The following is a 26,098-nucleotide window of genomic DNA, read 5'->3' on the forward strand; positions in this document are numbered from 1 at the left end:
ACATTTACCCACACATATATACTCACACTCATAGATAAACACACATATATACAGACAAGAAGAAAGAAATACAAAGTTTAAAAAATGTGATAATGGTATATACATGTTCATCTTCAACTTGCTTTTCTAGCATAATATACCATGGGATATGTCAATATATACAAATCTCATTTTTTTTTTCTTTTTTGAGACAGAGTTTTGCTCTTGTTGCCCAGGTTAGAGTGCAGTGGCGCCATCTCGGCTCACTGCAACCTCCGCCTCCCGGGTTCAAGCAATTCTCCAGCCTCAACCTCCCGAGTAGCTGAGATTGCAGGCATGCGCCACCACGCCTGGCTAATTTTTTGTATTTTTAGTAGAGACAGGGTTTCACCATGTTGGCCAGGCTGGTCTCAAACTCTGACCTTAGGTGATCCACCTGCCTCGGCCTCCCAAAGTGCTGGGATTACAGGCGTGAGCCACCGTGCCCGGCTACAAATCTCTTTGTTTTTAATCACTGTATAGTGTTCTATGGTATGGATATGTCATAATTAATAATGCTCTACAAGTTTATAATTTTGTTATCTCCTGATGTTTCCATTTTTTCACCATTTCCAACATTGCAATGGATATTACTGTACCTATCTCAGTTATCACATAAGCAAGTAATTATCTGGGGTAGATGTGGAGACATGGATTTGCTAAATTAAAAGGTAAGAGATTCCCAGCTGGGCTCAGTGGTTCATGCCTATAATCCCAGCACTTTGGGAGGCTGAGGTGGGTGGATCACTTGAGGCCAGGAGTTCAAGTTGCAGTGAGCCAACATCACGTCACTGCACTCTAGCCTGGGTGACAGAGTGAGACTCTGTCTCAAAAACAAACAAAGGCAAGAGATTTTGATTTTTTTTTTTTTTTTTTTTTTTTGAGATGGAGCCTCGCTCTTGTCACCTAGGCTGGAGTACAATGGCATGATCCTGGGTCACTACAACCTCCACCACCTCCCAGGTTCAAGCGATTCTCCTGCCTCAGTCTTCCAAGTAGCTGGGATTACAGGCGCCCGCCACCACACCTGGCTAATTTTTGTATTTTTAGTAGAGACAGGGTTTCACCATGTTGACCGGGCTGGTCTTGAACTCCTGACCTCAGGTGATCTGCCCTCCTCGACCTCCAAAAGTGCTGGGATTACAGGCGTGAGCCACTGTGCCCTGCCTTCAGTCTTCTTGAGTTGGCTATTACTAGGAAGTATGAGAAAAATGTCCCTCTCTGACAGAATTTGCCCATTTTTCTTTCTATTTGTTAGTTATTTCTTTAAATATTTCCATGTTATGTTAAGTGCATGAAGATTTGTGAATGTTTTATCTTCTTGGTAGATATTTTTCTTCAACATGAAATATTCCTCTTTGGTCCTTTTTCCTTTTTTTTTTTTTGTATTTTGTCGATATTTATATTGCTAAAACTACTTTCCTTGTATTAGACTTTATCTGGAACATTATTATTTTCCAAATTGCCAGATCCTTTTACAAACATAGTTTACAATGTCCCCAGCTTTTGCTGTGATCATTTTGGACTATGGTTTCCACATCAAACTTATCATCCTACCTGCCTTCTCTTTTTCAGAGATACTTAATTATCCCTTATCTACACAATGGTATACTTTGTCTTCTAGCACAATTATAAGCTAAAGTGTGTGTGTGTCTGTGTGTGTGTGTGTATGTGTGTGTGTGTCATTTAAGGCAGAAAGTAGAGATGACATTACATGGTCAGGCTGCCATCTTGATACGATCCTATGTTTTCCTTAACACCAGATTTCCTTCTCCACCTCCACTTCAAAACTTTCCTTTCCTTCCAGCTTGGTTGATCTAGATACTAAAGGTGCCGTGGGAGATACAATACAGAGTAGAGTTTGTGAATACGTTTAGTCAGCATACACCTCTCGAAAAACTACTTTTGGTCTCCATCTCTTTGTGGCCTATAAGTTAGTTTCAGGCTGAATACTACAACATGTGTTCCAGTAGCATGCATTATTTAGTAACAGCTTACACAGCTCTAAGTTATCATCTTTCCCACCTCATTCCCAGGAAGATTTGTTTAATTTATAAGCAGTCCATTTCAGACAGCACTCCTCGGGATATCACAATATTGCTGTTCTTCTGGGTGATTCATTGGCATTATGAATACCCTTGTTTCTTCCATGGGTAAAACATGTTTCAAGGCCACTAACTGGGCTATTGGCAAGGCCTGGTACAAACTAAGTGCAATGTAACTCTTAGCAATTTGTGACCATTAAACATAGCATTTATAATGTGCTAGTTTTAAAGTTGAACAAAACAACAACAACAACAAAGCAACCCACAGCCCGTGTCTACGGCCATACCACCCTGAACACGCCTGATCTCAGAAGCTAAGCAGGATCGGACCTGGCTGGTACTTGGATGGGAGACTGTTTGGGAATACCAGGTGCTGTAGGCTTCGCTGGGCGTGGTGGCTCATGCCTGTAATCCCCGCACTTTGGGAGGCCGAGGCAGGCAGATCACCTGAGGTTGGGAGTTCAAGACCAGCCTGACCAACATGGAGAAACCCTGTCCAGGCATGGTGGCGCATGCCTGTAATGCCAGCTATTCGCAAGGCTGAGGCAGGAGAATCACTTGAACCCAGGAGGCAGGGGTTACTGTGAGCTGAGATCGTGCCATTGCACCCCAGCCTGGGCAACAACAGCTAAACTTCATCTCAAAAAAACCCAACAAACAAAACAAAACAAAAAACCCACAATTAGTTCATAAAAGACTTGCACTTAATTTGCCTTCTTATTTTATTTAAAACATTCTTACCTCGTTTTCTATATTTTATCTTTACATATAGAATACAGAGTTTAATTTTATTGTACTTTTCCTTTTACCTCCCTTTTTTTCTTGTTTATTTTCACTTATAGGTCATTAAATGCCAAGCATAGGATCTCAGACGAAAAAGGGATTCAGGGTTAACTAGCTGAGGCCTATCATATGATGTTTGAGAGGTTTTGTGGCTTGCCTGAATTCCTCCATTGACCTGTGGCAGAGCTGGCACAAGAATATGGGTCACCTGACTCCAGCACATGCACATCAATTTACGTTTACAAAAGAGTTTTTAAAATACAATCTCATCTACTAACTACTACAAAACTACTGGAAAGAAACCTGACGGTGAGTACATATTACCTCAATTTTTATAGGAGAGAACACTGAGCAGGACAAATGAATTAATGATTTGCCTAAAATAATCTGCATCGGGAGATGTCAGGAGAACAACCTGGGGTCTTTACTACCGGCTTCTGCATCTCACAGCCTCTCCACCTTCTCACCTTGCAACTTCACTTTCTAAAAGGACAGAGTTGCCTTTTCAATGATTTATTTCATCATTTCATAATTTCATCCCTATAAAAACACAAAATATAGATTTTTTTTTTTTTTGAGACAGGGTCTGGCTCTGTTACCCAGGCTGGAGTGCTGTGGTGCCATCTTGGTTCACTGCACCCTCCTCATTCCTGGGCTCAAGCAATGCTCCTACCTCAGCCTCCCAAGTGGCTAGGAACACAGGAATCCACCACCATGCTCAGCTAATTTTATTTTATTTATTTGTAGAGACGAGTTGGTCTCAAACTCCTGGGCTCAAGCCATCCACCCCCCTTGGCTTCCCTGGGGTTACAGGCATGAGCCACTGTGCCCTGCTGATGCATATTTTAACGATTAAAATAATAATAATAAAAAAAACCCACCTGGCATGGTGGCTCACACCTGTAATGCCAGCACTTTGGGAGGCCGAGGCAGGCGAATCACCTGAGGTCAGGAGTTTGAGAATAGCCTTGCCAACATGGTGAAACTCTGTCTCTACTAAAAACACAAAAATTCGCCAGGCGTGGTGGCGGGTGCCTGTAATCCCAGCTACTTAGGAGGCTGAGGCAGGAGAATCACTTGAACCTGGGAGGCAGAGATTCTAGTAAGCCGAGATCGCGCCACTGCGCTTTCCAGCCTGGGTGACAGGGCGAGACTCCATCTCAAAAATAAAATAAAATAAATAAAAAGGCTTAGGCCTGTAATCCGAACACCCAAGCGGGGGCAGATCTCTTGAACCCAGAAGTTTGATACCAACCTGTCTCCACAAAAAATAAAATAAAATAAAATAAAATTAGCTGGGCATAGTGGTGCATGGGGCGTGTAGTCCCAGCTACTTGGGAGGCTGAGGTGGGACCACTGCTTGAGCCCTGGAGGTCGAGGCTGCAGTGAGCCATGATTGCACCACTACACTCTAGCCTGGGCAGTAGAGCAAAACCTTGTCTCAAAAAAAAAGTAATAAAATAAAGTATGTGTCATTTTGATTTGTGATAACCTTAGGAAAAAGCCAGCAAAGTCTGGGAACCAGGTAATCGATTGCAAATTGGAGAATGATTTACCTGCTATCTAAGATAAAGGAAAAGGGTAAATCACAATGTTGCTTTAAATTCCTTTCAGCTTTGTTTATTGTTTCCTTTTGTGTGGAATTTCACTGTTGCATTGATTTAAACCCAGCTCCTATCAAATGGGACATAGAGTAGGCCCTCAAGTAAACATTTAGCACTAGGCATGTGTGCTCTGTATAGGATATGTAGAACCCTCTCTCTGCTTCTAAGTCATAAATAGTTCTTTAGAGTCTAAGAAATTGGCAAACTCAGGCTGGGCGCAGTGGCTCAGGCCTGTAATACCAGCATTTTGGGAGGCTGAGGCAGGCAGATCACTTGAGGTCCGGAGTTCAAGACCAGCCTGGCCAACATGGTGAAACCCCATCTCTACTAAAAAAAAAAAAAAAAATTACCCGGGTGTGGTGTCAGATGCCTGTAATCCCGGCTACTCAGGAGGCTGAGGCAGGAGAATTGCTTGAACCTGGGAGGTGGAGGTTGCAGTGAGCTGAGATCTCGTCACTGCACTCCAACCTGGGAGAGCTGTGTCCATTCATTTACATATTATCTATGGCTGCTTTCCCTAGAAGGGCAGAGCTAAATAGAAGTTAGAGACTGTATTTTAGGCAAAGGCTAAAATATTTACTATCTGGCCGTTTAGATAAAAAGTTGACTCTATCCCTTGCATCAGGAGCGATAAATAGATGCTCTTGCATTTAGCGTCTTTATTGTTTTTCATGACAAACCTAGAGTTGAACCAACATCTGGCTAAAAAGCAAATGCACCATGACAAATGTTCATGGATCAGCAAAGTGCTAACCCAGTTATGGAAGTCTAATATAGTGTTACAGAGTCACAGGCTTAGCTAATATGTAAATCAGCAAACATGAGCAATAATGATTTATATTTGCATGGCATTCTATAGATTATGAAACATTTCATATCAATCTCATTTGATTTTTCCAATAACCGTAGAAAGTAGACAAGTAGGCTGGGCATTGTGCCTCATACCTATAATCCCAGCATTTTGGGAGGATCACTTGAAGCCAGGAGTTCAAGACCAGCCTGGTCAGTATGACAACACCCTGTTTCTACAAAAAAAATTTTTTTTTTTTAATTAGCCAGGTTTGTTGGCGTATGCCTGTGGTCTTATTTACTTGGGAGGGTTGAGGTGGGAGGATCACTTGAACCTAGGAGTTTGAGGTAACAGTGAGTTATGATTGCACTACTGCACTCAAGTCAGGGTTACAGAGCAAGACTCTGTCCCCCTGTCTCCCTGTCCCCGACCCCCACCCCCCCCAAAAAAAGGGCCGGCGTAGTGGCTCATGCCTGTAATCCCAGCAATTTGGAAAGCCGACGCAGGTGGATTACCTGAGGTTGGGAGTTTGACACCAGCCTGACCAACATAGAGAAACCCTGTTTCTATTAAAAATACAAAAATTAGCCAGGCGTGGTGTTGGGTGCCTGTAATCCCAGCTACTCGGGAGACTGAGGCAGAAGAATTACTTGAACTCAGGAAGCGGAGGTTGCAGTGAGCCGAGATCGTGCCATTGCACTCCAGTCTGGGCAACAAGAGTGAAACTCAAAAAAAAAAAAAAAAGAAAGAAAGAAAGTAGACAAATTATGAAACAGATTCAGCGACATTGCGTGATAACTCAGAGTGAAAAGGAACTCAGATTTAATGTCTTCAGTCTTTTAGCAGCTAAATGATTATTTTATCTCTGGAAAATGGTTACCTTGCTAAAAATAAAAAAGGTGAGCGGTTATTAACGTTTATCATTCTATGATGCACTGACTTGGAAGATCACTTACAATTAACTGTACTTTGTAATAACATGTTCTGTCTTCTAAATATTGTATTTTTATGTCAGTATGATGGTAAAAATAATATAAGCATTTTATATAATGGTTTTAAAAATCAAAATAAATATGGGCCTAATTAAGTTATAAGTTAAAAATATAATCTTAAATTTTTGAAATCTTAGAAACTGCAAGATGAATCAGTTATCTGGTTTTCTTGGATTAACAAAATTTTTAAAAAACAACTCTTGGAGTAGCAGGGAAAATAAGTCTTAGTAAAAATGTGAGTATATATGAGCTTGAGAAAAATAATGAAAAGTATACATAGTGCTCTGTAAATGGATCAAATCGTGTTGAACTAAATATTTCAATGGAAGCTACGAACATGTAGATGACTATTACAATCGTTGTATCATCTAAGACTTGATCTCCTGTGTGATCAAACCACTTCTGAGGAATTGCCAGTTTACCAACACATTGCTGTATCAGTCTTGGACCCACGTAAAACATTAATACAACATACTGCATGATTCAGCTAGATGACATTCTGGAAAAGGCAAATCTATGGAGACAGTAAAAAGATCAGTGGTTGCTAGGGGTCAGGGTAAGGAGGGGATGAATAGTGGAGGGCAGAGGATTTTTAGGGCAGTGAAACTTAACTGTATGATACTGTAATGGTGGATGCATGTTATTATACATTAGTCCAAACCCATAGAATGTATAACACCAAGAGTGAACTCTAACATAAAACTCTGCTAGGGAATGTTGATGGCAAAGTAGGTTATACGTGCATGGGGACAAGCGTATATGGGTAATCTCTGTACCTTCTGCTCAATGTTGCTGTGAACTTAAAGCTGCTCTAAAATATAAAGCCTACTTTAAAAAAATAACATAATGAGCTAACAAAGACCACAATTCTAGGTCTTCCTCAGAAGCTTTATAAATATGCATTAAAAAATTATTTTTTGGGTATACTCTGGCAGAAATACAAGAAAAACAAAGGCCCAGAATTTTTCCAGGAGAATAGATCCAGAGCGAACATGAACTTACTTCACACCCAGATTGAGTTTCCCATGAACATGACTCGTTCTCCTGAGGGAGAACCCCTCTTTGGAAAGCATGTTCACCCAGGCATGTTTGACACAAGGAAGACTCGAAGTCTGGCTCCCCTGGAGGGATGTGCACCATGGAGGAGCCGGTGTACTTCAGGCTGGGACTCTGATGCTTGTCCACACTGACCATTGGGCTCTTGATCCACCTTCGTACCTGCAATGTGCAAAAGGAAAGAAAAAACAAATGTGTTTGACTCCCTTTGATGTTTATTGGGGATTTGGTGGGAAATCTGGTGGGATGGGAGCTCATGAAAGGAGAACTCGGTCTCACAACCTGTCTATCTTTCAAACTCAACACAATTCGAATTGGTCAATGCTGTTCAGTCTCTTTCCTAGAGTATGCATTACATGGCTGGTCATTTCATCTTGCTGAGTCTGTCTCCGCATTTTTTTTTCACATTATTTTTTTCTTTTCTTTTTCCTCCTGCTTCCAGTGGGGTTAGAATTTTTTTCTTTTTAGAGATAGGGGGGTTTCACTCTGTTGCCCAGGCTGGTCTTGGTGTTAAAAGATCCTCCTGGACCAGCCTGCCAACATGATGAAACCCCATCTCTACTAAAAATACCAAAATTAGCCAGGCCTGGTGGTACACGCCTATAATCTCAGCTGCTTGGGAGAATCGCTTGAACCTGGGAAGCGGAGGTTGCAGTGAGCTGAGATAGCCCCGCTGCACTCCAGCCTGGGTGACAGAGCAAGACTGTCTCCAACCACAACAACAACACAACAACAACAAACCCTCAAAACCCAAAAACAAACAAAAACAATTACCCTGGCCAGGCGAGATGGTTTATATCTAAATAGCACTTTGGGAGGCCAAGGCAGGAGGACTGCTTTAGCCCAGGAGTTTGAGACCAGCCTGGGCAAAATAGCGAAACTTTGTCTCTACGAAAAAAATAACTTTTTTTTTTTTTTAAAGAAAAAGATCCTTTTGCCTCTTAAAGTGTTGGGATCACAGGTATAAGTCACTGTGCCCAGCCTGTCTCCTCATTTGTAAGATTCAGGTAATAATATTTCCTCCCAAGCTGTGAAAATGCTACCATGTTTTACAATGTTCAAGTACTTTGCCTGGCACATGTTTGGTGCCCAATAGATAGTGACTATTTTACTTTGACCCTTATTATTATGATTATGATGACAGAAATTTAGTTCACACATTTCTAAGGTGAATTACTAGTTATTCTTACAAGGGAAAATACTAATCTCATAGTTTACAATCTAATCCATTGCTAAGCAAATACATATTCACTATTATTATTGTTATTGAGACAGGATCTTCCTCTGTCACCCAGGATGGAATGCAGTGGCCTAATCATGGCTCACTGCAGTCTTGAACTGCTGGGCTCAAGCAATCCTCTCACCTCAGCCTCTGGAGTAGCTGAGACCACAGGCTCGCACCATCACACTACTAATTTTTTTTTTTTTTTGTAGAGATGAGGTCTCACTAAGTTGCGCAGGCTGGTATCAAACTCCTGGGCTCAAGTGATCCTCCCGCCTCCCAAAGTGTTGGGATTACAGGCATGAGCCACTGAATCCGGCCCATATATACTACTGCACAACTTTGATTATAAAAGAAATTGCTTCTGGCTAAGAAATTAGCTCAAGTTTGTTTTTAAAGTTCTAAAACTCACCACTTGTCTTGCTTGCTTGTAAAATCCCTATAAGATACAGAAAGAAGTATAAAGCTATTCTAATATTAACAGGCATGGTATTTATACAGCATTTCAAAAATCAAGGCACTTTTTAAAGTGTTTGATGTGTATAGTTTTTAATCCTCAGAACAGGCAGGGTGAGGTGGCTCACACCTGTAATCCCAGCACTTTAAACTTTGGGAGGCTAAGGCAGGCAGGTCACTTGAGGCCAGGATTTTGGGACCAGCCTAGCCAACATAGCAAAACCCCATCTCTACAAAAGAAAATAAATAAGTAAATGAAGAATAAAAAATTAATTAATTAGTCCTCAGAAAAGTTTTATAAGAAAGGTACTATTTTCAATCCCATTATACAGATGGAAAAACAAACGCATAGAGATGTGAAGCAAATTTCCCCAGGGCACAGTGTTGTTATGGAGTAAAGGCGGGATCCAGGCACCTTGAATCCAGAGTTTATAAACATGCAATTTTCTTTTCTTTCTTTTTTTTTTTTTTTGAGACAGAGTCTCGCTCTGTTGCCCCTGGCTGGAGTACAGTGGCGCGATCTCAGCTCACTGCAAGCTCTGCCTCCTGGGTTCACGCCATTCTCCTGCCTCAGCCTCCCGAGTAGCTGGGACTACAGGCACCTGCCACCATGCCTGGCTAATTTTTTGTATTTTTAGTAGAGACCGGGTTTCATCGTGTTAGCCAGGATGGTCTCGATCTCCTGACCTCATGATCCGCCCACCTTGGCCTCCCATAGTGCTGGTATTACAGGCTTGAGCCACTGCGCCTGGCCATGAGCATGCAATTTTCTAAGAAGCACTGAAGTGTTGTTAAGACTTATGGTCACTGGTGCTTGAAATTTATTTTGATTTACTATTTCACTTTCATGCTCTTCAAAACTCCTGAGGATTCTTTTATATTCAACCAATTAGTGAAATTAGCCTATAGCAAAAGGACAAAGAAGTAAAATCACAGTACTGAATTTTAGTTAGTGATGCTACAATTATTATTATTATTATTTTTGTTGTTGTTGTTGTTAAAGGGTCTTGTTTTGTTCCCCAGATTGGAGTGCATTGGCACGATGACAGCTCACTGCAGCCTTAACCTCCTAGGCTCAAGCGATCCTCCCACCTCAGCCCTCCCAAGTAGCTGGGACTACAGGCGTGCACCACCATGACTGGCTAATTATTTTTAAATTGTTTTGTAGAGACAGGGTCTTGCTATATTGCCCAGACTGGTCTTAAACTCCTGGCCTTAGGCGATCCTCCCACTTTGGCTTCCCAAAGTGTTGGGATTACAAGTGTGAGCCACCATGCCCAGCCTGCAATTAACTTTTTAAAAAACACTGAGGATAAACTAAAATTGCAATAGCAATAATGTTTAAGCAATTTATTATATTACTTGATAGAATATTTTGCTATCACTAAAATTAAGTATTATGAAGACTGTGAAAATATGAAAAATATTTAGAACATAATTATATGAGAAAAGCCAAATACAAAACTGTTTAATTGCTATAATCACAAATGTAAAAACATATGTACTAACTATAGGCCGGGTGCAGTGGCTCACGCCTGTAATCCCAGCACTTTGGGAGGTCGAGGCAGGCAGATCACCTGAGCCCAGGAGTTCAAGACCAGCCTGGTCAACATGACAAAACCCCATCTCTACAAAAAACACAAAAATTAGCTGGGTGTAGTGTTGGGCACCTGTAATCCCAGCTACTCAGGAGGCTGAGGCAGGAGAATCGCTTGACCCCTGGAGGTGGAGGTTGTGGTGAACCAAGATCATGCCATTGCACTCCAGCCTGGGCAACAAGAGTGAAAACTCTGTCTCAAAAAACAAACAAACAAACAAACAAAAAAAATATATATATACACATATATATTTTATATATACATATATATTTTATATACACATATATATTTTATATATATACATATATATTTATACATATACATATATACATATACATATATATTTTATATATATACATATATATATATACATATATATATACACAGAAACACTATAGACATAAAGTAGGAGAGTTAAGAGGCAAAATAGAAACTGCTGTGTTTATTGTTAGTATCATGGGTGTTTTATCTGTTTTTACAACTCTTCGTACTTTAACTTTTAAAAGAATAATATTTTATCAGAATCATAAATGTATATATATATATACATTTCTTTAAAAAATAGAGTCTCACCATGTTGGTCAAGCCAAGCTGGTTAGAACTCCTGGGCTCAAGTGTTCCCCTCCCAGCTCAGCCTCCCAAAATGCTGGGATTACAGGCGTGAGCTACCACATCCAGCCACAAGTGTCTTTTAATTGCTTTATTTATTTATTTCTTTATTCATTTATTTATATTTATTAAGATGGAGTCTCTGATTGTCACCCAGGCTGGAGTGCAGTGGCGCGATCTCAGCTCACTGCAGCCTCCTCCTCCCTGGTTCAAGTGATTCTCCTCCCTCAGCCTCCTGAGTGGCTGGAATTACAGGCACCGTGCCCCCACGCCCAGCTAATTTTTGTATTTTTAGTAGAGACGGGGTTTTGCTATGTTGGCCAGGCCGGTCTTGAACTCCTGATCTCGGGTGATCCACCCACCTCAGCCTCCCAAAGGGCTGGTAATACAGGCGTGAGCAACTGCACCTGGCCTATATGTACTCTTTTCAATAGCCATTTAAAATATCTTTGTGAGGCCGGTTGTGGTGGCTCACACCTGTAATCCCAGCACTTTGGGTTTGGGAGGCTGAGGCGTGTGGATCACCTGATCTCAGGAGTTCAAGACCAGCCTGACCAACATGGTGAAACCCTGACTCTCCTAAAAATACAAAAATTAGCTGGGCGTGGTGGTGCACACCCGTAACCCCAGCTGCTCCAGAGGCTGAAGCAGAAGAACGGCTTGAACCTCGGAGGCAGAGGTTGCAGTGAGCCTGAGATCATGGCACTGCATTCCAGCCTGGGTGAAAGAAGGAGACTCTGTCTCAAAAAAAATAAAATATCTTTTTGAGTTTACTATCCTAAAGTTAAAATTTTGGGTTTCCTTAAATATTTCTGTCACTATAGGGCCCCTTAAGCATGTTAGTAGGTATATTAAGAATGTTTCGCTGATTCATTAATGGAAGTCTAAATGAAACTTTAAAAGTTTGAGACTCCAATAGAATGTATCTTCTTAATGTTAGTACTAAATGTGTTTTTGATCAGTCTAAAAAGTGTTCAATTTCATTAGAGATGGATAATGTTTTTTATTATTCTTATTCAGATAGTTTTGGGCTTGAAGTCTGGTAACTGTTCTTGCTTTGTCTCCAACGTTGTAGTTTAAAATCAATCTTTTTACTCTGGCTTACTTTCAATGTCTCTTTTGCCAAGTAGATTTAACTTTAGGGTTACTGTGAACAGGATTTAAACAGATGATAAATCTATTCAAATATATTTGTAAGTTGTATGCCTGGACTAAGAATCTTTGTATCTTGAAATGTATATCTCCCCTGACTCCCTGAACACCCGCACTCTAGAGCTTGAGTTATGGCCAACAAAATAAAATTTTTTTTAAATATTCTTTTTTCATGTTATTTTTATTTCTTTTTGTTTTTTATTTTTATATTTTCTTTTTCTTTTTTTTAATATGTTACAGTCTGAATATGTTCATAGTGACTTTTCTGTTTGTTTGGTTGGTTTTTTTTACAGAGATACAGTCTCACTCTATTCCCTTTGTTGGAGGGCTGTGGCACGATCATAGCTCACTTCAACCAAGAGCTCCTAGGCTCAAGCTATCCTCTCGCCTCAGCCTCCCAGTTACCTGGGACTACAGATGCGCGCCACCACGTTCGGCTATTTATTTTTTGGAGAGACGGTGTCTCATTATGTTGCCCAGGCTGGTCTTGAACTCCTGGTCTCAAGTGATCCTCCTGCCTTGGCATCCCAAAGCTCTGGGATTACAGACATGAGCCATTACACCTGGCCAGAATAAAATTATTAAAGGGACATACTATTTATTTAATAAAATAAGTAAACTATAAGTAAGAAGGAAAATAAAGCATATGAATGATCAGGATCATTGCGGGTGGAGGGCTCAATTTTAAACAGTATGAGCCAGGATACTATCGGATACTCCCTCTCTGTCCACACAGAATGTAGCAAGGGATATGGAGAAATACTCCCTTTCTCCAGAAGCATCAGAGAAAAAGTGTTACTTACAAAAATGAATCCAGCAACACATTTCTAACCGGACTGTTGCTGAATTTTACTGCATGCTTTGTCTTAAAAAGGTTTTGTCTCCATTGGCTTAGTCCTTATACTGGCTTCAACGTGTCCCTTCTTTATGACTCCTTGACACTTTTCACCAGCTTTGAAGCCTCACAAGTGATTTTTACAGGCCCAATTAAGGACAGAGTTTACGATGTTTGCTTGCTCTTGAGAGAGTGGCTGGACCGACCCAGTGAATGCACAGGAGTTAGGCAAGGTGCCCTTCAAAACTGCTGAGTAGAGAAATCCTCCCACGGCCCCTCGGGGAATTCAAGCTACAACTGGCCCATTGTGTTTCCTCAGGCTGCGGATTGCTTTACTGGAGGGAGTAGCTGACTGTGAGTGGCTTTGGGAGCCCTTCATAACAATGGCTGGAGGAGAGCTGCAGCAGCTGTGTGTGCGAGAAACACGAATGCCCGGATGCCAGCGGCAGCCTGGGCTCCTGGGCCTCCTGGGCCACCTGGGCCCTAGTTTTATTCAGAGCTACACAACTGTTTGTGAAGCGCATTGTAAACAAACATAGACGGGGTGAGACATCCTCTTTATCCTGAATAAATCAAGAATTCCCAGGCCGGGCGCTGTGGCTCATGCCTGTAATCCCAGTACTTTGGGAGGAGGCGGGCGGATCACGAGGTCAGTAGATCGAGACCATCCTGGCTAACACGGTGAAACCCCGTCTCTACTAAAAATACAAAAAAAATTGCCGGGCGTAGTGGAGGGTGCCTGTAGTCCCAGCTACTCGGGAGGCTGAGGCAGGAGAATGGCGTGAACCCGGGAGGCGGAGCTTGCAGTGAGCTGAGATCGCGCCACTGCACTCCAGCCTGGGCGACAGAGCGAGACTCTGTCTCAAAAAAAAAAAAAAAAAAAATTCCCTCACTTGGGGTTTATAGGAGACTGTTCTCCAAACCACACCAGACTTTTAGAAGCAACTACCTCTACAGATACCGGGGTGAACCAGTAAGGCCCTTCATTTAACTAGACAGAAACTGAGTGAACAGTGGGTAAACAAAATATTCAACCAAATTCTTTGCTAAATCCAGTCCACCTTGGTTTTATTAATGTCTTTACTTGGAAAAAAAAAAAAAAAAAGCCATCCAAAAGCAATCCCTCAGTCTAGAAAATTGCCAGATGTGATTAAAGAGATTGGCTGGCTTCTAGGGATTTTCCACTTGTGGTTTTTTCCTATTATCTAAGAGCAAACAGATATTACTATTAATTTAAAATAGTTTAGCTGATAATGATATCAACCGATACAGGAAAATTATAGAGAGTTTAGGTACTTAGGTGTGAACTCAGGTGGCAACACCTACTCTCATTGGCCCCCGTCCTTTTAGGGGGAAGAGCTGACTCTCTTAAAAAGCCAAGAGAGCTTGAAGTTGCCTTCTGTAATTTCCAAACAGGCATTTTTTTTTTTTAATTATAGAGAACTGACTTTGCTTACTTGACGCCTCAATAACTTTCAATTTCGAGAGAGTCAGCCCAGTTTTCTAGTGAAATTACTTGGATAGGTCAATAGATTATAAAAAGGGAGGCCAGGTGAGGTGGAGGCCGAGGCAGGTGGATCATTTGAGGCCAGGTGTTAAAGACCAGGCTGGCCAACATGGTGAAACCCCGTTTCTACTGAAAACACAAAAATTAGCCACCATGGTGGCGTCCACCTGTAATCCCAGCTACTAGGGAGGCTGAGGCAGGAGAATCCCTTGAACCCAGGAGCCGGAGGTGGCAGTGAGCCAAGATCGTGCCACTGCACTCCAGCCTGGATGAAAGAGTGAGACTCTGTCTCAAAAAAAAAAAAAAAGAGAGAGAGAAAGTAAGAGACCTGCATGCCTATGCCTCTCCCAGAGGGTGCATGCTAGCAGGTTAGTTACGGCATGAGTGTAATTTAGGAGAAGGCTCCTGGAAGCAAATTCATCTCACACTGATACTGGAGCCTGAAGCTGCTTCATAGCATGTCTCCTAAAATATAACAGTGCTGTAATATTCAGTAATATTAATCAGATATCTTCACCCCAGCTATATGTCATCATCATGTATCTGTCTTTTCTCTCTCTCTTTTTTTTTTTTGAGACGGAGTTGTACTTTTGTTGACCAGGCTGGAGCGCAATGGCGCGATCTCAGCTCACTGCAACCTCCGCCTCCCGGGTTCAAGCAATTCTCCTGCTTCAGCCTCCCGAGTAGCTGGGATTACAGACGTGTGTCACCACATCCAGCTAGTTTTGTATTTTTAGTAGAGACAGGGTTTCTCCATGTTCGTCAGGCTGATCTCGAACTCCTGACCTCAGGTGATCCATCCACCTTGGCCTCCCAATCCCAAGCCTGTTGGGATTACAGGCGTGAGCCACCGCACCAGGCCTATTACTGTCTTTTCTCTAGTGTTTGTAGTGTTTATTGCTTGTATAAAACAACAGGACTTTTATGCTAACTGGTCTTGATATTAAGCCTATGTCACCTTTCCAACTGGATCATAAGCATGAGAATAGCTTCTTAGGCCTTAGGAAAAAAAAAAATTCCAGAGGCTAGTGTATGGGCTTACAAACAAACTAGGTAATAAAAATAGGAATCTCTTGATTGCTTTTAATATTTACTTATAGATCTCAACAAGTTTTGCTAACATCCTCCATCAAGGTAATACAGATTTTCTATTTAAATATTTCTCTTTAACACGCAAGACCTATCCTGGAGCAGGCACCCTGAGAAGATGGAGTGACTTTTAGAATTCCCTGACCTTCTATGCTGTTGTCCTTGGGATCTCCCAGTCCTTTCCTCTCACCTTGACCTAGTTGCATCCTCTTCTAGATTCTCAGGGGCCAACCTGTGTCTCCAGGCCTAGTCCGGAGGATGGAGTGGTGGGGAGGACTCTGGGGAAGTGGGAAAACGGAGACGCAATGCGTCCATGTACCCTATTTAATGTTGCTGCTCACAGCAGGCAGCACCCCAGCTCCGTCTCTTCAGAGGACAGTGCTTGCCTGTTCTTCTAGCTCAGTAAGTATAAAGTCTCCCTCCTCATCCTCCCCATTGAGGAATCCACCCCACCCTGTCCCACCCCACCCCACCCTACACTGCCAAGTGTTAAATAGATAAAGTGCAGGAATTCATCAACGTACGTTTTTCTTTGGAAATACAGGTGAAGTTTTTCTCATTTCTTTAAATTGTGGGACTCTGCCAGGTGCGGTGGCTCATGCCTGTCGTCCCAGTGCTTTGGGAGGCCGAGGCAGGCAGATCACCTAAGGTCAGGAGTTTGAGACCAGTCTGGCCAACATATAGTGAAACTCCATCTCTACTAAAAATACAAAAATTAGTCGGGCGCGGGGGCACATGCCTGTAATTCCAGCTACTTGGGAGACTGAGGCAGGAGAATCACTTGAACCTAGGTGGCGGAGGTTGCAGTGAGCCGAGATTGCACCACTAGACTCCAGTCTGCAGAGTGAAACTGTCTCAAAAAAAAAAAAAAATTGTGGGACTCATTCTTTTCGTTTGAATTTGTCTTTCCTCGATATGTACTTTTTTTAGATATAAAAAATTGTTTTAAAAAGAGAAAGTAGGAAAATTATTTTAGGTACTATCTCTACGGGACAGTGTATGTTATTTGCTTTTGGAAATTAAGGCTCAGGGAAAATAGAAATGCTGGTGTAATCAGTGGAGAAGAACCTGGCTATCCTGTCCGTCAAAATCCACTGAGCTTTGGAAACAACTTCCTCCCCTCTTTCCTCCAAGAAATCCCCTTTTCCAGTGTTTTTTTTGTTTGTTTATTTTAGGTTCAAGGGTACATGTGAAGGTTTGTTACACAGGTAAGCTCATGACACCGGGATTTGTTGTACAGATTATTTCATCACCCAGGAATTAAGCCTAGTACCCAATAGTTATCTTTTGTGCTCTTCTCCCTCCTCCCACTCTTCACCCTCCAGTAGACCCCAGTATCTGTTGTTTCCTTCTTTGTATTCATGTAAGTTCTCATTCCAGTGTTTTTCTGTTTGTTTGTTTTTTTGAGATGGAGTCTTGCTCTGTTGCCTAGGCTGGAGTGCAGTGATGCGATCTTGGCTCACTGCAACCTCCACCTCCCAGGTTCAAGCAATTCTCCTGCCTCAGCCTCCCGAGTAACTAGGACTACAGGCACACACCACCACACCCAGCTGAGTTTTGTATTTTTAGTAGAGACAGGGTTTCACCATGTTGACCAGGCTGGTCTCGAACTCCTGACCTCAGGCAATCTGCCTGCCTCGACCTCCCAAAGTGCTGGGATTACAGGCATGAGCCACCGTGCCCAGCCTTTTTTTTTTTTTTCTTGAGACGGACTCTTGCTCTGTTGCCCAGGCTGGAGTGCAGTAGTATGATCTCAGCTCACCGCAACCTCCCGTTCCTGGGTTCAAGGAATTCTCCTGCCTCAGTCTCCTGAGTAACTGGGATCACAAGTGTGCACCACCATGACCAGCTAATTTTTTTTTTTTTTTTTTGTATTTTTAGTAGAGATGGGGTTTCACCATGTTGACCAGGCTGGTCTCAAACTTCTGACCTCAGGTTATCTGCCCACCTTGGCCTCCCAGAGTGCTGGGATTACAGGCGTGAGCCACTGCGCCTGGCCTCATTCCAGTGTTGTTGTTGTTTTTTTAACTGTCTCTCTCTCTCTAGGCTACTGTCTCTCAGCATATTAAACACCTTGTTCTTGCAATATCTCTAAAAGCTAGCGAACAGACTGCAAGCAAAACATCCTCTTTACACCCACAAACTCTTCCTTTTTCCCGCAGCCACCTTTCACCACCACCCAACTCTTCTCTCTTAGCCGAGCTTCATGAAAAAATAATCTCCATTTCCTCATCTCACATTTTCTCCTCAACCCATTTGCTCATTAAATGGCAATTTGTTCATTAAATGGTATTTATGGATTGCTTAATATTTGCAAGGACTAAAGCGAAGAACATAATAACAAAAGTCTCATTTCATAAAATGAAGCTTGCACAAAGATGCCAATAAACCTCATTGTCAAATCCAATAGACATTTCTCTGTGCTTACTTCATTTGCATATACTCTGCAGCATTTAAAAGCTTTCACAAAGGTTCAACAACTATTTGCCTGGCATTATGTGGTTGGGACAGAAAGAAATTTAATGTTGACCATCGAAAGAGGATGCTTGCATTTCAGAGGGGCTGATACATGAGACTGCGGTTTATCACAGCAGGTCTACCCTCCCCAGAGCTCAGTTTCTGCCCTTGTAAAATGGAGATAATAATTATGCCTACTTTACAAGGGTTTTGTGAGGACTAAATGAGATGATGCAGGTAAGCCCAGTGCTTGACACCAGGTGAATCCTTCACAAATATTTGCTATTGTGGTTATGGCTTCATTCCATGGAAAGAGTTTTATACAAAGGGCCATTGGAGAAAAGATGGAGGGTACTTGGTCCAGTCAGGAAAAATCAGGGAAGGCTTTCTGGTGGAAGTGATGGTTAAGTTGAATCTTAAAAGCTGAGTTACACTTTGGGAGGCCGAGGTGGGCGGATCACGAGGTCAGGAGATCGAAACCATCCCGGCTAAAACGGTGAAACCCCGTCTCTACTAAAAAAAATACAAAAAATTAGCCGGGCGTAGTGGTGGGCGCCTGTAGTCCCAGCTACTTGGGAGGCTGAGGCAGGAGAATGGCGTGAACCCGGGAGGCGGAGCTTGCAGTGAGCCGAGATCCCGCCACTGCACTCCAGCCTGGGCGACAGAGCGAGACTCCGTCTCAAAAAAAAAAAAAAAAAAAAAAAAAAAAAAGCTGAGTTAAAGGAAGCCAGGTGAAGAGAAATGGGAAAGATATTTCTAGTAGAGGGGATGGCAGAAGCCCAAATACAGAGGCAAGAATCTGCTGAGATGAATAGAAAACAAGCTCCAAAAAGGAGAGGCAAGAACTAAAGCTGGATAGAAAGTTTAGGTCATGGGGCAATGAGGGGACCCTGAAGTATTTATTTTTATTTATTTATTTACTTACTATTTAGGGATGGGGTCTCGCTGTGTTGCCCAGGCTGATCTTGACCTCCTGGGCTCCAGTGATTCTCCTGCCTTAGCCTTCCGAAGAGCTGGGGTTACAAGCATGAGCCGCTGCACCCAGCTCACTGAAGTATTTTAAGCAGGAGAGTAGGATGGTCAAATGTGTTTTTCTTTTTCTTTTTTTTTGAGACAGAGTCTCACTCTGTAACCCAGGCTGGAGTGCAGTGGTGCGATCTTGGCTCACTGCAACCTCCGCCTCCCAGGTTCAAGAGATTCTCCTGCCTCAGCCTCCCAAGTAGCTGGGATTACAGGTGCCTGCCACCACACCCGGCTAATTTTTTGTATTTTTAGTAGAGATGGGGTTTCACCATGTTATCCAGGCTGATCTTGAACTCCCAATCTCAGGTGATCCACCACCTCGGCCTCCCAAAGCCCTAGGATTATAGGCGTGAGCCACCGTGCCCAGCCTCAAATGTGTTTTTCAATACAGTATGAAGGACGGATTTAAGATGGTCAAGATCAAAGGAGCTAGATGAGAGTCAGGAATGGATTAGAAAAGAAAGGTAAGGGCCAAACAAGAATAGTAGCTTTGGGAATGGAAAGGAGGAAACAATAATCAAATCTACTTTTAGCTCTCAAGACTATATCCTCTTCTCCATCCAAGTACAGGTTGAGCATCTTAAATCTAAAAATCCAAAATCTGAAATGCTTCGACATCTGAAGCTCTTTGAGTGTGGACAAGATGTTCAAAGAAAATACTCATTGGAGCTTTTTGGATTTTCAGATTAAAGATGCTCAACCAGTAATTATAATGCAAGTATTCCAAAATCTGAAAAAAAAAAAAAAACCCAAATCTGAAATACTTCTGGTTCCAAGCATTTTGGATAAGAGAGACTCAGCTTGTATCTTCTCGATTCCTAAAGCCATTCCTTAAATGGTATTGCCCTTTTAGTCTTTTCTTTTCTTTTCTTTTCTTTTCTTTTCTTTTGAGATGGAGTCTCACTCTGTCACCCAGGCTGGAGTGCAGTGGCGCAATCTTGGCTCACTGCAGCCTCTGCCTTCCAGGTTCAAGTGAATCTTTCACCTCAGCCTCCAAGTAACTGGGATTACAGGCCTGCACCACCATGCCCTGCTAATTTTTGTATTTTAGTAGAGACGGGGTTTCACCGTGTTGACCAAGTTAGTCTTGAACTCAGGTTCAAGGTTCAAGGTATCCACCCACCTTGGCCTCCCAAAGTGCTGGTATTACAGGCGTGAGCCACAGCGCCTGGCCATCTTTTTTTAAAAAATAAAAATAATCTGTGGCTGGGTGCATTGGCTCACCTCATCTCTTAAAAAAATAAGTAAATAAAATAAAATAATTTGTTATTTAAATTGATTGATCAGTCGATTGTAGAGGTGGAGTGTCACTATGTTGCCCACACTGGTCTTAAACTCCTGGCCTCAAGTGATCTGCCCACCTTGGCCTCCCAAAGTGTTGGGATTACAGGTGTGACCCACTGTGTCCAGCCTCCCTTTTTAATCTTAACCTCACTGATACCACAGCTTCTTTCCAAATGCAAAAGCTGTCTTGTTGCTACCTAGCTTTAAACTCCTCAGTTTGGTTCCTCATCTCTAGCAGCAGTGGCTTTCAAACCTGTTTCATCAGGATTGATGTATTATAAGAAAGCCCATATGACTGAAACAATTGGTTCCCCACTAAAACCTATCCTTTTTACATGAAATGCACTGACATCTCCTATTCTATTCTTTCAAAATGCTGATTGCAATCTATTGAACTGATTTCATGAACCACTAATGGGTGCCACACAAATTGAAAAACGCTCATCTAAATGGTAAAATCTAAATATCTTGGCCTGGGAGACCAAGTCTCCTAGGGTCTGGACGCCTATCTTCTATTGTGCCCGGAATGCATCCAGACCTCCATTATATCATTTACTTTGCAGTTCTCTTAAAGATTGTTCTCCTGAATCTTTGATTCCCTTGACCAGCCTTGTCCACCTGGAAACTCCTGCTCTAAGTCACAAACTTGGGAAAGCCATTGTCTGGCTTCTTACCCATTCTTTCATCCATTTGGGTATTCATTTGTTTAAGTGGGAGCACACATTCATTGCTTTGCTTGTGTATTTCCCTTATTAGAATGTGAGTTTCATAAGGACTGAGATATTATTTTCTCTCATATATTCAGTAGTGGGACATTTATAATTTCTTCTGTGTGTTCCCTCTTCCTAGCTTATTCCTGCTCTATTTTCTGTCTGTGTTCACTTTGTGTTGAAGCTCACAAGGAAAGAGACTCACTATTACATCCCCAGAGCTTAGCACAACTCCCAACATACAGGCAATGCTGAAGAAATGGTTGCTGATTGGCTCCATGCTAGGTATTTTTCAAGGCACAGGGAATGACAAATAAGAGGCAATTCTGTCTTTAGGAACTCAGAGCCTTGCAGGAAAGCCCAACAAGGAAATCAACAATTGGAAGACAGTGTTAAAGCGAGCATGAGTTCATCTCTGGGGAGAAGTAGGACCGGGCTGTGATGGGGATAGGTGAAATGCAGCATTTTGGAGAGAGAGGAAAGCATGTTTCAAAGCATGCTCATAGAGAGGGCCAACCTTGGGGTGAGTATGTGTGGCAAGCCAGAAAGCCAAAAAGCTAAGTGGGTCAGACATCAAATGACTTGAATGTTTGGATACTGAAATGTCATCCTTAACTCACAGGGAGGGTACGCTGAAGGATTCTAAATGTTAGCATGATCTGATCAGATTTGCTATCTTCTAAATGAATTGGGCCCAGGGGAAAAGCATCCTAGGTTAGAGGAATAAGCACTGTCCACAGATTAGATGGACCCCACAGATTGAGGCCCCTTCTGGAGACAGTGCTTATTCCAGGGGTCTCCAAACCCGGGTAACACAGGACAGCTTTAAAAATGCAGGCTCAGCTGTGCATGGTGGCTCACACCTATAATCCCAGCACTTTGGAAGGCTGAGGTGGGTGGATAGTTTGAGCTCAGGTGTTCTAGACTAGCCTGGGCAACATGGTAAAACCCCAACACTACAAAAAATACAAATTAGCCAAGCATGGTGGTGTGTGCCTGTAATCCCAGCTACTCAGGATGCTGAGGTGGGAGGAGTGCTTGAGCCCAGGAGGTTGAGGCTGCAGTGAACTGTGATTGTGCCACTGCACTCCAGCCTGGCAAGAGACTCTTGTCTCAAAAAAAACCACAAAAACAAAAACAAAAACCAGAACCAAAAAACCCAGGGTGAGGTGCAGTGGCTCACGCCTGTAACCCCAGCACTTTGGGAGGAGGCCAAGGCAGGCATCTCTACTAAAACTACAAAAATTAGCTGGTGTGGTAGTGGGTGCCTTTAATCCCAGCTACTCGGGAGGCTGAGGCAGAAGAATTGCTTGAACCTGGGAGGTGGAAGTTGTGGTGAGCTGAGATCGTACCACTGCACTCCAGCCTGGGTGACACAGCAAGATTCTGTCTTGAAAAAACAAACCAACCAACAAACAAAAACCGAACCAACAAAAAAAGGAAATAAAAATTAAAATGTAGTCTTACCAGTGGCTTTTAACATTTTTAAATTTTATTTTCAAGCTCTATGTGACCTAGATGAAGGGCAGGGAAGGCTAAATGGAGCACGAAATGACCAGGGTCCTGGAGGTGTGAGAGGTGGGCAGACCCAGGCAGGTGTGAGAGGTGGGCAGACCTGGGTTTTTTGGGCAATGGGAGGAGGTATCACTATAAAATAAGACAGAGTGGAAATGCCATCCTACAGCCTCACTTGGAGCTCTCTACAGTATTGTTCCTCAAAGACATCTTCCTTTCTTCCTTTCTCCACTCCCCTAAGTCCCCCACATCTAAAATAACACCATATAGCTCTTAAACTCCGTAATAACCTAGGTATATTATGAATTAAATAGGTTTCTATGGGTAAGAATAAGGTTAAGTGTGGAGCAGAAAGGGTTACTAAACAGCAAGTATAATATTGTTTTTTCTATTATTCTGAGGTTAAGCAGTCAATTTACAAGTGATTTGGATTTCCTCACAATTTACTGAACAAAGAAGAAAATCTAAGATATAAAAAGGGTTTTCTACAGAAATGAATAATAAACTGAATTAAGAGAATTGGATTCCAGTTCTAGCTTCGTAACTACCTTGAGCAAGACACTGAATTCATGTGAACTTGAAGGCGCTTATCCGTAAAATGATGATCTTGGAGCATCCAAGAAGTCCTTTCCGACTGTGTCACAGATTCAAAGCTCTTCGTTCCCTGAAGTCCTGCTACTGTGACTTGGAACTCTCTGTTTCTATGGTGTGCAGCACTCAGCACAAGTTTGTTGAATGAACAAATGATCAAATGACATTTGCCCTTCCCTGCCTGACATTCCAGTCACATTCTTCCATAACTTTGCATTTCTTCCATTAGATAAATAAACAAACGCAAAAAATCCACAAGGCTTTTAAGATAATTTTATGCCCTTAAGGGCAGTTGTTTAAAAATCTATTTAAAACACAAAGATAAAGACTGAATGAAAGTCTCATTATTAGAGCGCTGTACATTGCTTAATTAAATTGAAAGTGGTAAATGAAAGGTAAGATGATTAACATCCAAACTGGGGTCTTATTACCACTCTCTGATGTTACTGCTTGTTCGTTGAGTCCTCTTATAAAAGAAATTGCACAGTACACTCAATTTCAGTTTTATACAAAAACAGCTTTCCTCCAAATTATGCTTGTGCTGTATTGGTAATGGTTTCTATTTCTGTATTCTATTTTTTTTTCTCACTTCATGTTTTATAAATGAAGAAAATGTTAAGGTTTAATTGTTCCCTGAAAACAGGAGGACAGTCAAAGCTAACAAAAAGATATCTATGAAGTACCTATTATGTCCAAGGATTGTGTGAGGTTCTGAAATTATGGAAGATAAAAGAATGTATTGAGAATAAATTGGAAATGTTCAAAGATCCTATGGAAATTGCTGGAATTAAAAAAGGCTCAGTTTTCAACCATAGAATCAGAAGCACAAGAAAAAAAAAACCAAAGAGGAAAAGAAAACTGGCTGTGACCTCCGTACAATTGAGACAGAGGAAAATGACTGTTAACATGAATCTGTGTAAATGGAGAAGGAAAAAGGATGCATTTCAGGACAGCTACATTTAAATAATCAAAATAATTTAAAAAGTGTAGGCAAGGTAGTGAGACTTCCTTTCTACAGAAAAAATTAACTGGATGTGGTGGCATGCACCTGGAGTCCTAGCTACTAAGGAGGTTGAAGCAGGAAGATCACTTAAACTCAGAAGTTCAAGGTTACTGGCTGGGAGCAGTGGCTCATGCATGTAGTCTCAGCACTTTGGGAAGCCTACATGGGTGGATCACTTGAGGTCAGGAGTTCAAGACTAGCCTGGCCAACATGGTGAAACCCCGTCTTTATTAAAAATACAAAAATTAGCTGGACGTGGTGGTGCGTGCCTGTAGTTCCAGCTACTCAGGAGGCTGAGGCAAAGAATCACTTGAACCCGGGAGGTAGAGATTGCAGTGAGCTGAGATGGTGCCACTGCACTCCAACGTGGGCAATAGAGTGAGATCCTGTCTCAAAATAAATAAATAAATAAATAAATAAATAAAATAAAGGCAAGAGTAAAAATCAAAGAAACATTCTTGCAACATTATCCTTGGTGATACCACACCCTACAGATATGCTGTATTCTTTTAATAGATATCAATGAACTGACTTGTTAAAGAAAGAAAGTGGAAATGTAGTATATAACCCAAAATGCATTACATTAATATGGCCCTCATTAATCCCCTCCCCCCCAAAAATAGCAAGTCATTCTGCTATATGGGAGAATTTCATACATGAAATTTTACAAGGATAGGTGATTTATAGGAACTTCTGATTATTATGCTTTTTGCCATTCTTTTATTATAAAACCAGCACTCAAAAAGAATCAGGTATTGGTTCTACATACGAATTTGAAATGAGCAGGTGTGCAGTAAGCACTATATTACAGTCTGGTTAAGTAAAATATAAACACTTAGCTTTGCTTAGAAAGCCTACTGTTGGGAAAAGCTGGGTGTGGTGGCTTATGCCTGCAATCTAATCCCAATACTTTGGGAGGTTGAGGTGGAGGGATTTCTTGAGGCCAAGAGGTCGAGACCAGCCGGGGCAACATAGTGAGATCTCATCTCTACAATAAGATAAAAAAATATAGCTGAGAATAGTGATGCACACCTGTAGTCCCAGACACTCAGAAGGCTGAGGTGGAAGGGTTGCTTGAGCCCAGGAGGTTGAGGCTGCAGTGAGCCACGATCATGCCATTGCACTCCAGCCTGGGCAACAGGCAGAATGAGACACTGTCTCAAAAAAAAAAAAAAAAAAAAAGTTGTTTCTTCCTGGCCCATTCCATCTTCAAAGTGCCTTTTCTCTGTATAAGGACATATCTTCCACATAGGGTATAGTTCCTAGTACCATTTGATTACCTATCTTACTCACGGCTGTCTTGAAGGCAAACAGAAATTCCTAAGTATTTGTTGAATAAATAGATGAGTAAAGGAGTGAATAGATGCTTTGTGGTGGTAATTTAGCTTATTTTTAAAATATATATATTTTTTAATTTTTTTGTAGAGACAAGGTCTCACTATATTGCCCAGGCTAGTCTCAAACTACCGGGCTCAAGCGATTCTCCCACCTTGGCTTCCCAATGTACTGAGATTACAGGCATGAGCCACCTCGCCTGGCCAATTTAGCTTCTTCATTTGTGTTCCTCCCTAGATTGTAAATTCTTTATGGATTCTTTATGGATAAATATTTCACTGGACATCTTTATGTTGCTTGTAATGCCAAGCACAGTATCTTGCATGCATGACACTGTTCAACACATATTTGTTGTATTAATTGAAAGTGTGTGCCTGTCACCCTGCGAGGTCTGAATGAAATAGCAGATCCAGGCCAGGTGCAG

The 26,098-nt window shown here is 41.9% G+C and overlaps 1 protein-coding gene and 1 pseudogene across 1 annotated transcript in view; one reads left to right on the forward strand and one right to left on the reverse strand.

The window, feature by feature from the left end:
- The window catches only part of SGK1 (serum/glucocorticoid regulated kinase 1), a 148,857-nt gene that overhangs the window by 85,443 nt on the left and 37,316 nt on the right, over window positions 1–26,098 (reverse strand). Inside the window, exon 2 of the mRNA NM_001143676.3 lies at window positions 7,235–7,450. Within this exon, the coding sequence (NP_001137148.1) occupies window positions 7,235–7,450 (216 nt within the window). The remainder of the gene's footprint in view (window positions 1–7,234; window positions 7,451–26,098) is intronic.
- Window positions 2,337–2,445, forward strand: RNA5SP218 (RNA, 5S ribosomal pseudogene 218; annotated as a pseudogene).

This window comes from Homo sapiens, chromosome 6 (genome assembly GCF_000001405.40).
Source record: "Homo sapiens chromosome 6, GRCh38.p14 Primary Assembly".
NCBI lineage: Eukaryota > Metazoa > Chordata > Mammalia > Primates > Hominidae > Homo > Homo sapiens.